Source organism: Homo sapiens, chromosome 6 (assembly GCF_000001405.40).
Source record: "Homo sapiens chromosome 6, GRCh38.p14 Primary Assembly".
NCBI lineage: Eukaryota > Metazoa > Chordata > Mammalia > Primates > Hominidae > Homo > Homo sapiens.
In genome coordinates, this window is record NC_000006.12 from 101785612 (window position 1) to 101801147 (window position 15536).

A 15536-nucleotide genomic window follows, 5' to 3' on the forward strand; every position below is an offset into this window, starting at 1 on the left:
AAATCAGTAGACTATAAATATATGGATTTATTTCTGGATTGCCCATTTTGTTTCATTGGTCTATGTGTCTGTTTTTATACCAATACCATGCTGTTTTAGTTATTATAGCCTTGTAACACATTTTAAGGTCAGGTATTGTGATGCCTTCAGCTTTTTTTCTTTTTGCTCAGGATTGCTTTGGTTATTCAGGCTGTTTTGGTTCCATATGAATTTTAGAAGTTTTTTTTCTTTTCTATTTCTGTGAAGAATGTCATGATATATTGGTGGTAATTGTGTTGAATCTGTAGATTGTTTTGGGTAGTATGGCCATTTTTACAACATTAATCCTTCCTATACATGAGCATGGTCTTTTCATCTGCCTGTGTCCTCTTCAATTTCTTTAATCAATTTTTTGTAGGTTTCATTGTAGAGTTCCTCATCTCCTTAGTTAAATTTATTCCTAAGGTTTTTTACTTTTTGTTGGTAGTGTAAATGAGATTACCTTCTTGATAGTTTGGCTGATTAGTTATTTGTGTATAAAAACATGGCTGATTTTTGTTTGTTGATTTTGTGTTCTACAACTTTACTGAATTTGCCAAATAGAGTTTTTGGTGGAGTCTTTAGGTTTTTTAAAACATAAGATCATGTCACCTGCAAAAGGGACAATTTGACTTTTTTTTTTTCCAGTTTCAGTGTCCTTTCTTTCTGTTGTCTGATTGCTCTGAGTAGGACTTTCAGTACTTTGTTGAATAGGAGTTGTAAAAGTGGGCATCATTGTCTGGTTCAAGTTTTTAGAGGAAAGGATTTCAGCTTTTTCCCATACATTATGTTATTTGTAGGTGTGTCATATATGGCCTGTGTTATACTGAGGCATGTTCCTTTTATGCTTAGTCTGTTGAGTTTATATTATGAAGGAATGTTGAATTTTATCAAATGTTTTTCTGTGTCTGTTGAGATCACATGATTTTTACCCTTTATTCTATTGGTGTGATGTATTACATTTATTGTTTTATGCAGGTTGAACCATCCTTGAGCTCCTGGAATAAATTCCACTTGATCATGTTGTAGTACCTTTTGGATGTTCTGTTGAATTTAGCTTGCTACTGTTTTGTTGAGGATTTTTACATCTATGTTCACCAGGGATGTTTGCCTGTGAACATAGATACAAAACATAGATGTTCACCAGTTGTTGTTGCTGTTGTGTCCTTGTCTGCTTTTGGTATCATAATACTGACCTCATAAAATGAGTTAGGAAGAATTATCTCCTCTTGCTTTTTAACAGGTAGTTTGAGTAGAATTGGTATTAATTATTTTTTAAAAGTTAGGTAGAATATGGCAGTGAAGTCATCTGATACTGGGCTTTTCTTTGGTGGAAGCCATTTTATTATTGATTCAATTTTGTTACTCTTATTAGCCTGTTCAGTTTTTCTACTTCTTTCTAATTCAATGTTGGTAGTAGGTTGTATGTGTCTAAAAATTTATCCATTTCCTATAAATTTTTGAGTTTGTTAGTACATAGTTTTTCATAACAGTCTTTTAGGATTTTTTTGTATTTCAGTGTTATCTATTGTAATGTCCATTTTTTACCTTCTGATTTTGTTTATTTGGGTCTTTCATCTTTTTTTTCTTAGTTTAACTAGAAGTTTGTCAATTTTTTTTAAAGACTTTTCATTTCAATAATCCTTTGTATTATTTTTTAAGTCTCTATTTCATTTATTTCAGTTCTGATCTTTATTATTTTTTTCTTCTACTAATACTAGGTTTGATTTGTTCTTACTTTTCTAGTTCTTGAGGTGCATCATTAGGTTATTTAAAATCTTTATATTTTCTTGATGTAGATACATATTGCTATAAACTTCCCTCTTAACACTGCTTTTCCTGTATCCGGTGTGTTTTGATGTGTTGTGTTTCCATTTTTATTTGTTTCAAGAAACTTTTAGATTTTCTGCTTAATTTACTCCATGACCTAATGGTCATTCAAGAGTATGCTGTTTAGTGTCCATATATTTGTAGAGTTTCAAAAATTCTTCTTGTTATTGATTTCTATTTTTTTGTTTATTGTGGTCTGATAAGATATTTGACTTTTGCACCTTTTCAACTTTTAAAAGTTTGTTGAAACATTTTGTGGCCTTACATTGTTTTTCCTGGACTGTTTTGTGTGCTGATGAGAAGAATGTATATTCTGCAGTTGTTGGATGAAAGGTTCTGTAAATGTCTGTTAAGTCCCTTTGGCTAAACTGCAGTTTTAATCTGATGTTTGTTGATTTTCTACCTAGATGAGCTGTTAAATGTTGAGAGTGGATATTAAAGTCCTTAACTATTTCTGTATTGTAGTCTGTCTGTCTCTTTAGATCAAATAAAATTTGTTTTATATATTTAGGTGCCCTGCTGATGGGTGCATAAATATTTAGAAATGTCCTCTTGCTGAATTGATCCCTTTGTCATTATATAATGACCTGGTTTGTCTCTTTGTACTGTTTTTTGACTTAAAGTTTGTTTTATTTGATATAAGTATAGCTATTCCAGCTCACTTTTGGCTTTCATTTGCATAGAATATCTTTTTTTCATTCCTTTACTTTCTGTCTATATGTGTCTTTACGAGTGAGATGAATTTCTTTCTTTTTTTTTATTATTATACTTTAAGTTTTAGGGTACATGTGCACAATGTGCAGGTTAGTTACATATGTATACATGTGCCATGCTGGTGTGCTGCACCCATTAACTCGTCATTTAGCATTAGGTATATCTCCTAATGCTATCCCTCCCCCCTGCCCCCACCCCACAATAGTACCCAGAGTGTGATGTTCCCCTTCCTCTGTCCATGTGTTCTCATTGTTCAATTCCCATCTATGAGTGAGAACATGCAGTGTTTGGTTTTTTGTCCTTGCAATAGTTTACTGAGAGTGATGATTTCCAATTTCATCCATGTCCCTACAAAGGACATGAACTCATCATTTTTTTATGGCTGCATAGTATTCCATGGTGTATATGTGCCACATTTTCTTAATCGGGTCTATCATTGTTGGACATTTGGGTTGGATCCAAGTCTTTGCTATTGTGAATAGTGCTGCAATAAACATACATGTGCATGTGTCTTTATAGCAGCATGATTTATAGTCCTTTGGGCATATACCCAGTAATGGGATGGCTGGGTCAAATGGTATTTCTAGTTCTAGGTCCCTGAGGAATCGCCACACTGACTTCCACAATGGTTGAACTAGTTTACAGTCCCACCAACAGTGTAAAAGTGTTCCTATTTCTCCACATCCTCTCCAGCACCTGTTGTTTCCTGACTGTTTAATGATTGCCATTCTAACTGGTGTGAGATGGTATCTCATTGTGATTTTGATTTGCATATCTCTGATGGCCAGTGATGATGAGCTTTTTTTCATGTGTCTTTTGCTGCATAAATGTCTTTTTTTGAGAAGTGTGTGTTCATATCCTTCGCCCACTTTTTGATGGGGTTGTTTTTTTCTTGTCAATTTGTTTGAGTTCATTGTAGATTCTGGATATTAGCCCTTTGTCAGATGAGTAGGTTGCGAAAATTTTCTCCCATTTTGTAGGTTGCCTGTTCACTCTGATAGTAGTTTCTTTTGCTGTGCAGAAGCTGTTTAGTTTAATTAGATCCCATTTGTCAATTTTGGCTTTTGTTGCCATTGCTTTTGGTGTTTTAGACCTGAAGTCCTTGCCCATGCCTATGTCCTGAATGGCAATGCCTAGATTTTCTTTTGGGTTTTTATGGTTTCAGGTCTAACATTTAAGTCTTTAATCCATCTTGAATTAATTTTTGTATAAGGTGTAAGGAAGGGATCCAGTTTCAGCTTTCTACATATGGCTAGCCAATTTTCCCAGCACCATTTATTAAATAGGGAATCCTTTCCCCATTGCTTGTTTTTCTCAGGTTTGTCAAAGATCAGATAGTTGTAGATACATGGCGTTATTTCTGAGGGCTCTGTTCTGTTCCATTGATCTGTATCTCTGTTTTGGTACCAGTACCATGCTGTTTTGGTTACTGTAGACTTGTAGTATAGTTTGAAGTCAGGTAATGTGATGCCTCCAGCTTTGTTCTTTTGGCTTAGGATTGACTTGGCGATGCGGGCTCTTTTTTGGTGCCGTATGAACTTTAAAGTAGTTTTTTCCAATTCTGTGAAGAAAGTCATTGGTAGATTGATGGGAATGGCATTGAATCTATAAATTACCTTGGGCATTATGGCCATTTTCATGATATTGATTCTTCCTACCCATGAGCATGGAATGTTCTTCCATTTATTTGTATCCTCTTTTATTTCATTGAGCAGTGGTTTGTAGTTCTCCTTGAAGAGGTCCTTCACGTCCCTTGTAAGTTGGATTCCTAAGTATTTTATTCTCTTTGAAGCAATTGTGAATGGGAGTTCACTCATGATTTGGCTCTCTGTTTGTTTGTTATTGGTGTATAAGAATGCTTGTGATTTTTGTACATTGATTTTGTATGCTGAGACTTTGCTGAAGTTGCTTAACAGCTTAAGGAGATATCGGGCTGAGACAATGGGGTTTTCTAGATATACAATCATGTCATCTGCAAACAAGGACAATTTGACTTCCTCTTTTCCTAATTGAATACCCTTTATTTCCTTCTCCTGCCTAATTGCCCTGGCCAGACCTTCCAACACTATATTGAATAGGAGTGGTGAGAGAGGGCATCCCTGTCTTGTGCCAGTTTTCAAAGGGAATGCTTCCAGTTTTTGCCCATTCAGTATGATATTGGCTGTGGGTTTGTCATAGATAGCTCTTAATATTTTGAGATACGTCACATCAATTCCTAATTTATTGAGAATTTTTAGCATGAAGGGTTGTTGAATTTTGTCAAAGGCTTTTTCTGCATCTATTGAGATAATCATGTGGTTTTTGTCTTTGGCTCTGTTTATATGCTGGATTACATTTATTGATTTGCGTATATTGAACCAGCCTTGCATCCCAGGGATGAAGCCCACTTGATCATGGTGGATAAGCTTTTTGATGTGCTGCTGGATTCGGTTTGCCAGTATTTTATTGAGGATTTTTGCATCAATGTTCATCAAGGATATTGGTCTAAAATTCTCTTTTTTGGTTGTGTCTCTGCCCGGCTTTGGTATCAGGATGATGCGGGCCTCATAAAATGAGTTAGGGAGGATTCCCTCTTTTTCTATTGATTGGAATAGTTTCAGAAGGAATGGTACCAGTTCCTCCTTTTACCTCTGGTAGAATTCGGCTGTGAATCCATCTGGTCCTGGACTCTTTTTGGTTGGTAAGCTATTGATTATTGCCACAATTTCAGCTCCTGTTATTGGTCTATTCAGAGATTCAACTTCTTCCTGGTTTAGTCTTGGGAGGGTGTATATGTCGAGGAATTTATCCATTTCTTCTAGATTTTCTAGTTTATTTGCATAGAGGTGTTTGTAGTATTCTCTGATGGTAGTTTGTATTTCTGTGGGATCGGTGGTGATATCCCTTTTATCATTTTTTATTGCGTCTATTTGATTCTTCTCTCTTTTTTTCTTTATTAGTCTTGCTAGCAGTCTATCAATTTTGTTGATCCTTTCAAAAAACCAGCTCCTGGATTCATTAATTTGTTGAAGGGTTTTTTGTGTGTCTATTTCCTTCAGTTCTGCTCTGATTTTAGTTGTTTCTTGCCTTCTGCTAGCTTTTGAATGTGTTTGCTCTTGCTTTTCTGGTTCTTTTAATTGTGATGTTAGGGTGTCAATTTTGGATCTTTCCTGCTTTCTCTTGTGGGCATTTAGTGCTATAAATTTCCCTCTACACACTGCTTTGAATGTGTCCCAGCGATTCTGGTATGTTGTGTTTTTGTTCTCATTGGTGTCAAAGAAGATCTTTATTTCTGCCTTCATTTCGTTATGTACCCAGTAGTCATTCAGGAGCAGGTTGTTCAGTTTCCATGTAGTTGTGCGGTTTTGAGTGAGTTTCTTAATCCTGAGTTCTAGTTTGATTGCACTGTGGTCTGAGAGACAGTTTGTTATAATTTCTTTTTTTTTACATTTGCTGAGGAGAGCTTTACTTCCCAGTATGTGGTCAATTTTGGAATAGGTGTGGTGTGGTGCTGAAAAAATGTATATTCTGTTGATTTGGGGTGGAGAGTTCTGTAGATGGCTATTAGGTCCGCTTGGTGCAGAGCTGAGTTCAATTCCTGGGTATCCTTGTTAACTTTCTGTCTCGTTGATCTGTCTAATGTTGACAGTGTGGTGTTAAAGTCTCCCATTATTATTGTGTGGGAGTCTAAGTCTCTTTTTAGGTCACTCAGGACTTGCTTTATGAATCTGGGTGCTCCTGTATTGGGTGCATATATATTTAGGATAGTTATCTCTTCTTGTTGAATTGATCCCTTTACCATTATGTAATGGCCTTCTTTGTCTCTTTTGATCTTTGTTGGTTTAAAGTCTGTTTTATCAGAGACTAGGATTGCAACCCCTGCCTTTTTTTGTTTTCCATTTGCTTGGTCGATCTTCCTCCATCCTTTTATTTTGAGCCTATGTGTGTCTCTGCACGTGAGATGGGTTTCCTGAATACAGCACACTGATGGGTCTTGACTCTTTATCCAATTTGCCAGTCTGTGTCTTTTAATTGGAGCATTTAGCCCATTTACATTTAAAGTTAATATTGTTATGTGTGAATTTGATCCTGTCATTATGATGATAGCTGGTTATTTTGCTCATTAGTTGATGCAGTTTCTTCCTAGTCTCGATGGTCTTTACGTTTTGGCATGATTTTGCAGTGGCTGGTCCTGGTTGTTCCTTTGCATGTTTAGTGCTTCCTTCAGGAGCTCTTTTAGAGCAGGCCTGGTGGTGACAAAATCTCTCAGCATTTGCTTGTCTGTAAAGTATTTTATTTCTCCTTCACTTATGAAGCTTAGTTTGGCTGGATATGAAATTCTGGGTTGAAAATTCTTTTCTTTAAGAATGTTGAATATTGGCCCCCACTCTCTTCTGGCTTGTAGAGTTTCTGCCGAGAGATCCGCTGTTAGTCTGATGGGCTTCCCTTTGAGGGTAACCCGACCTTTCTCTCTGGCTGCCGTTAACATTTTTTCCTTCATTTCAACTTTGGTAAATCTGACAATTATGTGTCTTGGAGTTGCTCTTCTCGAGGAGTATCTTTGTGGTGTTCTCTGTATTTCCTGAATCTGAATGTTGGCCTGCCTTGCTAGGTTGGGGAAGTTCTCCTGGATAATATCCTGCAGAGTTTTTTCCAACTTGGTTCCATTCTCCCCGTCTCTTTCAGGTACACCAATCAGATGTAGATTTGGTCTTTTCACATAGTCCCATATTTCTTGGAGGCTTTGTTCATTTCTTTTTATTCTTTTTTCTCTAAACTTCCCTTCTCGCTTCATTTCATTCATTTCATCTTCCATCACTGATACCCTTTCTTCCAGTTGATCGCATCGGCTCCTGAGGCTTCTGCATTCTTCACGCAGTTCTCGAGCCTTGGCTTTCACCTCCGTCAGCTCCTTTAAGCACTTCTCTGTATTGTTTATTCTATTTATACATTCGTCTAAATTTTTTTCAAAGTTTTCAACTGCTTTGCCTTTGGTTTGAATTTCCTCCTGTAGCTCGGAGTAGTTTGATCATCTGAAGCCTTCTTCTCTCAACTTGTCAACGTCATTCTCCATCCAGCTTTGTTCTGTTGCTGGTGAGGAACTGCGTTCCTTTGGAGGAGGAGAGGTGCTCTGCTTTTTAGAGTTTCCAGTTTTTCTGCTCTGTTTTTTCCCCATCTTTGTGGTATTATCTACTTTTGGTCTTTGATGATGGTGATGTACAGATGGGTTTTGGTGTGGATGTCCTTTCTGTTTGTTAGTTTTCCTTCTAACAGACAGGACCCTCAGCTGCAGGTCTGTTGGAGTTTGCTAGAGGACCACTCCAGACCCTGTTTGCCTGGGTATCAGCAGCAGTGTCTGCAGAACTGCAGATTTTCTTGTACCGCGAATGCTGCTGTCTGATCGTTCCTCTGGAAGTTTTGTCTCAGAGGAGTATCTCGCCATGTGAGGTGTCAGTCTGCCCCTACTGGGGGGTGCCTCCCAGTTAGGCTGCTCGGGGGTCAGGGGTCAGGGACCCAGTTGAGGAGGCAGTCTGCCCGTTCTCAGATCTCCAGCTGCCTGCTGGGAGAACCACTGCTCTCTTCAAAGCTGTCAGACAGGGACATTGAAGTCTGCAGAGGTTACTGCTGTCTTTTTGTTTGTCTGTGCCCTGCCCCCAGAGGTGGAGCCTACAGAGGCAGGCAGACCTCCTTGAGCTGTGGTGGGCTCCACCCAGTTCAAGCTTCCTGGCTGCTTTGTTTACCTAAGTGAGCCTGGGCAATGGTGGGCGCCCCTCTCCCAGCCTCCCTGCCGCGTTGCAGTTTGATCTCAGACTTCTGTGCTAGCAATCAGCGAGACTCCATGGGCGTAGGACCCTCCGAGCCAGGTGCAGGATATAATCTCCTGGTGCGCCATTTCCTAAGCCCGTCAGAAAAGCGCAGTATTCGGGTGGGAGTGACCTGGTTTTCCAGGTGCTGTCTGTCACCCCTTTCCTTGACCAGGAAAGGGAACTCCCTGACCCCTTGCGCTTCCTGAGTGAGGCAATGCCTCGCCCTGCTTCGGCTCGCGCACAGTGCACTGCACTGCTGTTCTGTGCCCACTGTCTGGCACTCCCTAGTGAGATGAACCCGGTACCTCAGATGGAAATGCAGAAATCACCCCTCTTCTGCGTCGCTCACGCTGGGAGCTGTAGACCGGAGCTGTTCCTATTCGGTCATCTTGGCTTCTCCCCGAGATGAATTTCTTGTAGGCAGTATATAGTTGGGTCATTAAAAAAATCCATTCAGCTAGTCATATCTTTCAAATGAACACCTTATTGTGTTTATATCAAAGGTTATTATTCTTTAATTGTTTTTGTTTGTTTTGTATATCGTTTGTTCCCTTCTTTCTCTCTTATTGTTTATCATTGCGGTTTAGTGGTTTTCTGTAGTGGTTCCAGAATTTGTTTGGTTCTTTTATATGATGTCTATCTCTTTATGGAACTTTTCATTAATATCCTGATTTTTTTTTCTTTGTATTGTTTTTCTGTGTTCTCTGTGTCTCATTGAGCTTCTTTGCTATAATTATTTTGAATCTTTTTTCAGGCATTTCATAGATCTATTTTTCACTGAATATTTTGCTGAATAATTATTGTGCTCCTTTAGAGGTGTCATACTTCCTGGATTTTTTATTTCTTGTGTCCTTTTCTGTCCTTATGTTGATATCTACACATTTTGTGTAATAGTTGCTTGTTTCAATTTTTTTTTTTTTTTTTGAGACGGAGTCTCACTTTGTCACCCAGTCTGGAATGCAGTGGCGCCATCTTGGCTGACTGCAACTTCTGCCTCCCGGGTTCAAGCCATTCTCCTGCCTTAGCCTCACAAGTAGCTGGAATTACAGGCCCACAGCTACCATGACCCACTAACTTTTGTATTTTTAGTAGAGACCAGGTTTCATCATGTTGTTTAGGCTGGCCTCAAACTCCTGACTTCAGGTGATCCATCCACCTCGGCCTCCCAAAGTGTTGGAATTACAGATGTGAGCCACCATACCCGGCCAGCTTTTTTCAATTTTTTTGGATGGATTTTCATAAGGGAAAATTTTTCCTATGGATTTATCTATGGTATTGGTTGAGGGGGCACTTTCGCTTTGATTATAGGGTTAGCAGTAGCATAGTCCTCATATGATTTTTACAGCATCAGTGGTGTCTGTGATTTCCGTTTCTTAGACTGTGATTATTAGTGGAGACTGTGTTGAAATTTTACTGGGTGTAGGAGTGCCAGGTAGTTCAGTCCTGAGGCCCAGTGGTGTTATCAGTGGGCTAAGTGTGCCTGTCTTTAGGCTCCTGTGTGGCATACAAGGGCACGTGTGTTAGTGGGCTCAGGTGGGCCAATTGTTGGGCCTCCAGGAAGCTTGCTTCGGTTCAGTAGTGGCAGCAGTGGGCATGTGTGTGGTGAATTCCTGGGCCCCTAAGCAGTATGCATGGCATGAGAAATAGCAGTAGTGATGGTGGGACCACCCTTGGACTCTCAGGCATCACATACTGGTGTTTGCAGTGCCTGCAACAGGCTGGATGGACCAGCCCTCAGGAGAAGTGCACGGACACCAGCAGTGGTGAACAAGGCAGGGCTGTTCTCAGGTCCCTGGGTGGCATGCTTGGGTACTTGGGGGATAGTGCCAGGGGTGTGGGCCTGCCCTTAGTGTCCCCTGATGGGTGCATGGGAATAGGCTGTGGTGAATAGGACAGGGCAATCTCCATGCCCCAGGTATAACAATGTATTTCTTTTTTACAAATATGCATTTACCAGTTTTCTATAATCTCTACCTTTTCTTATTTTGCAGTGCATTTTCATTATGTATTTATGAAAAAATTATATAGAGATTTATGCATTCAAGTGCTTGTTGACATTTGTTACATTGTGTAACTACAAAACCACCTTCACTACTTTGCTTATTAACCATAGAGTGTTGAGTGAGAAACCCAGAGAAAAGGATATAAACTTTGGACAGATTATATGGATTAAATCCAGCTCTACGTCTATATGCTATGGTTTGTTTTTTGAGTTACTTAGCTGCTGTCTGCCTTGGTTTCCTATTTGACACATACTTGATGGGATTGCACCTGAATAATGGTTATGGAAATTAAAGGAATTAATTTAAGGAGAGTGCCTCACACACAGATATTGAATGAATGTTGGCTATTAATATTATTAATAGAAGACAGATTTTCACATATTTGTGAGAATAAGAGAAGGCACATTTTTGTGAGCATTCTTGTGAGAATAAGAGAAACCACATTTCTGAAGCACTAGAATTTTCACACGGTTTTTCAAAGGAAGGAGATTTATAGACACACAATTTTACAAAGAAGACAATAGTTTAATCTGACAAGATATTAAATATAAATAGAAAAATCTACATAATATCACCAAAACAACTAGTCTAAAATTAAAACCAAAAAGTACCCCAAACTGGAGAAAATATCATAGAAAGTATTTCAGAAGTTCTGTTTATTGATTTATAAGTAAAGATATTTTAAACTGGGAAATCCAGAAGTAGTTTGATCAGCGACTTTTAGATTACTTGTACCTTTTTCTCAAGGATTTATATTTTATTGTTACAGACAGTAGTCTCACCATTTTGCCCAGACTGGGCTCAAACTTCAGGGCTCAAGTGATCCTCTTACCTTACCCTTCCAAGTAGCTGGGCTACAGATGTGTGCCACTGTGCCCAGCTATATTTATCTTATAGTTTAATAATATTATCTAATTTTTATAATTGTACTTAAAATAACAGATTTCAAAGAGTTTTATTAGCAACTACTGTGTCCTGATCTTGAAACTGAAACTATATACCAGAAAAGATTTTTTGATTTTTAATTAGGCAAAATTATTTTCTAGCATTGTCATATTAAATAAGGTTACTACTCTAGGATTTTTATGTATGTCCTGTTAGATTATCTATATGTCAGTAAGTCATGAAAAGCAATTTTCATGAAAACTTGGAATTAGAAATATTATAGATTGTATTCTTTTAGTTATTTTTTCCATAATAGATCAACATTTTTATCTTGGCAATAACTGCTATAGTTTTTGTAATCTTCCTCATACATTACGTGTTAATCTTAAAAACTGTGGAAAATATGAAATAAAAATTTTACTCATGATTAATTCACAAGAGTTAAACATTATTATTTTATTGTGTTTTCTTGTTTTTGTTGTTTATATAGTATGTAGTGGTGGCCAAAAGCATTCCTGAACAGGGAGGGTGGGCTTCCCCACTTGTTAGCTGTGTGATTTCAATTAGTTCTTCACTTTTCCCAACCTTGGTTTTGTTATTTATAAAATGTTAACAATAGATTTTTTATTATACTATTATTCAGAGAATAAAGTAAATATATTAATTACCCATATATAAGTATACATGCATGTGTATTTTAGATATTCTATTTAATTTATAAATATATATTGCTTTATAAGGTAATACTTCATATTACTCTATAAATATATATTATCTGTACATATATTTATAAAGTAAATATATATTATGCTGTATTTCCATAATAAACCATTATATATTTTTTTTATGTATATATTACATATAATAGTTTATATTATATATAAAATAATGGTTATATATTAATAATGGTTTTATATATTATATATTATATATTACATACTATATATAATATATGAAACCATTATATATTATATATAAAACCATTATTTATACATTTATATATATAAAATGATTTATGCTGGAAATGCAGTTCTGTATAATCTAAATCTAATTTAACACAACACCATTTAAGATGTATTTAATTTCCATCTAGTTGAGTATTTTTCAAAACATGATTTTTTAGTGCTTATATAAGAAAACATCGTGAATTTATTTAGAAATTTCCCTATTTTGGTCATTCAGTAGATTTCCACTCTTTTTTTTTTTTTTTCTAAAAACAAAACAATGGATATGTAGCCTTCATTCTTAGCTCCGATTTTCTTAATGCTAATTCCAGAAAGAGGAATTACTGGGTTAAAATAAACATAAATATTTTTAAGGCTCTCTTACGTTTTGTGCTGCAAAATTACCCTTTCTGTTGACAGTTATATATTTTAAAACGCTCAAAATGTATCTTCCCAATTCTGTTGATGATTTTTGTGACTACCTGTGTAATATATGTAATATGTCCTCTGAATATTAACTCGGGTCAGAGACAAATATCAGTCAAATCCTCAGGCTCAGGATGTATGCCTCAATGAACACTACTAGTTTTCACTATGCATCCTTCAGGGTATGTGAAAATAGTCAGTAGAATTTATAAAATGAAGGTTTGGAATCTGAGTTATTTTCCCAAGAGATTTATGAACTATAAAATAATATTATTATGTTCTCTTATTGCATTGTGCTCTTTAGCCATCTTCCATTTTATGTGGTATAGCTCCTTAGGATCCATTTGGTTGAAAGCTACTGTGTATACTCATTTTGTATTGTATTGTGGCAAATGCTGTAATCTACAGGGTTCCTATTCATTTCACAGCTCACTAATTGTGTGAATGAGAAGAGGAAATATATGCTTTTATTCTAAAGCATGCCAAGCAGATGGCCAAAGTTCATTACTAGGAGCATTGTCAGTGTGGCTGTCTTTTCTAGGTAGTAAGCCTGGCATCGATCTGTCAAACACAGAGTGAGGGTCCATTTAACACAGCACTTGAAAATCACTGAGCCTCTGTTTTGTTATGACTTATAAACATTTTATTTTTTTATCATCAACCTCCAAAGTGGTTGGTCATTTGAGCAGGTGCAAACACAGTAGAATTCATATTTGTTTTACCTGAGAAGCCAAATGAACTTTTATTCATATGGAAATCTTGGGGAAAGGAAACCGTACAAGAGATTAAGCTTAGTTTCTTGAAAAGCGGGTAATACAGCTATTGAGATTCAAAACTACCATCATTTCTGAGATTGAAACTTTTGAAAATTTAAGTTGAAGAAAAAGATCAGGGTTTATATCTTTTTAAAGCTAAAAGATTAAAACAATGAAAGAATTTAAGGTTTTAAGTAAGTCTCCCTTAAAATCTTGGTTTCTTCCTATAAAAGGAAACTGTTTACTTACTTTTATATAGAATATGTAATTTATGTGACCATTAAAAATGTTAGCAATGTACTCATTGTGTGTGTGTGTGTGTGTGTGTGTGTGTATAAGTGAGACAGAGTAAGAATCAGAGATAGTGACAAAAAGGAAATAAAGCCTGTCTTCATACATGTCCTACTTCAACGGCAGTACTAGGACTATATGTAATTGGGTTATTTCAGGAAAAGGAGGGTAGGTCAAATTTTCTTATGGAGCTGATGTAGTAATTTGATCATAATGTCTTGTTTAAGAGAACGAGAGCATGTTAGAGATAACGTTTTCTTCTTTATACAAAGAAAAATGGGATATATATTTCCCTTACCTCTTCCCTCTTCCTCCTTGCAAACCATCTACCACAAGTTCTACAAGTTATATTGACTATAAATTTCCCTTTCCCTTGCTTTTCAGACTGATGCTGCTCTAATGTATGATGCTGTGCATGTGGTGTCTGTGGCCGTTCAACAGTTTCCCCAGATGACAGTCAGTTCCTTGCAGTGTAATCGACATAAACCCTGGCGCTTCGGGACCCGCTTTATGAGTCTAATTAAAGAGGTAAGTTAGGAGAAGAACATCTGCCTTGTCTCTTTTGTTGTCAAGCTGAATGAAGTGAGATTATTGTGGTTTTTCTAGCAAGTGTCCTTTTACTTTATGTTTAATTTAAATTTTCTCTCTTACTCCAAATAAGCAAAATTAACATTTTTACTAAATAATACCAAATGAAAGGTGAGGGGAAACAAAATATCTATCAAAGTATCTATGAGGGTTAGCATTTACCTTTCTGAATCTTTATTACTTTTCCTTTATGTAGAGATATAGATTAATAAAGGAATGTTTATATTTTAGGCAACAAAATATAAAATGCATTTTTAACATAAATGTCATTTGCACTACAGCAAAATTATACCTAATTTGTGAGGCTTCAAGTATAGTTATTCAGATTAATTGTTCCTAAATATGTCTAGTTATTTAAATTATATTTACAATTAACAAAAATAGAATGTATGGATTAATCAAAGTGCAAAATTTACTCCATGTTATATAATGCAACCATTCTTATGACCATATATCATTTCTGACTATGTCTGTTATAGATCAAGAATATTCATAGTGAGAAAAAGTTTTTGAAGATCATACATACATACATATATACATGCATATATATACAAATATGTATACGTATATATTTTTCCTGTCAAAAAAGAAAGTCCTTTGTTAACTTAGAATACTTTTCATAGATGAAAGTTTAACTGTGCCTTAATCTTTGCAATGAAATATCACAGGTATTATTACCATATGAAATTTTTTATTAATGGCTTAAAATAAATCATCAGTTCATCTTGTAATAAATTATTCATCATGAAAATAAAAGTGCAAATAGGATCATAATTAAGTATCTCTGAATATCCATGAATTTTCTTTGTCTAATTCTTATCAAACTCTCAGGTAGATGAATTAATAGTTTCGAAGAATATGCAGTTTATTAGTTGCCCCATATTCTAACATTTACTTCTGGTTTAAAACTGAAACTTAGTGAGCTGTAGACACAGTCCACAGGTCTGGCGAGATGAAGAATTGATTTTTCTGAACTCAGCACTAGATTATTGAAACAATGACGTGTCAAGCAGCCCTAAAAGAAGCAGTTGTATGACATTCCCCATTGTATTTATTGTAGGGTGTAATTGAGAATCTTGTCCACTAAATCACACAGTGTCCCCCTTATGAGGACCAACAGGAGAAATTTCTCTCAGGTCTCAGTGCCAGGAAAAGCTCTTTCTCCTGAGCAGCTGGTATGTCTTAAATTATAGACCCTGTATATTGTGTTTTTATCATATTTTCTTCTTTGTTTTGGTTGCTAGGAAGTTCAGAATTGAATTTGTGATAAAATTACTTGTGCAATTTCACCTGGTA

At 36.3% G+C, this 15536-nt stretch overlaps 1 protein-coding gene across 8 annotated transcripts in view; it reads left to right on the forward strand.

Annotated features, from left to right (window-relative positions):
- The window catches only part of GRIK2 (glutamate ionotropic receptor kainate type subunit 2), a 676376-nt gene that overhangs the window by 391904 nt on the left and 268936 nt on the right, over window positions 1-15536 (forward strand). For all 8 annotated transcript variants that reach the window (XM_047418681.1, NM_021956.5, XM_047418682.1 and 5 more), the window contains one exon: window positions 14037-14180. In XM_047418681.1, the coding sequence (XP_047274637.1) occupies window positions 14037-14180 (144 nt within the window). The remainder of the gene's footprint in view (window positions 1-14036; window positions 14181-15536) is intronic.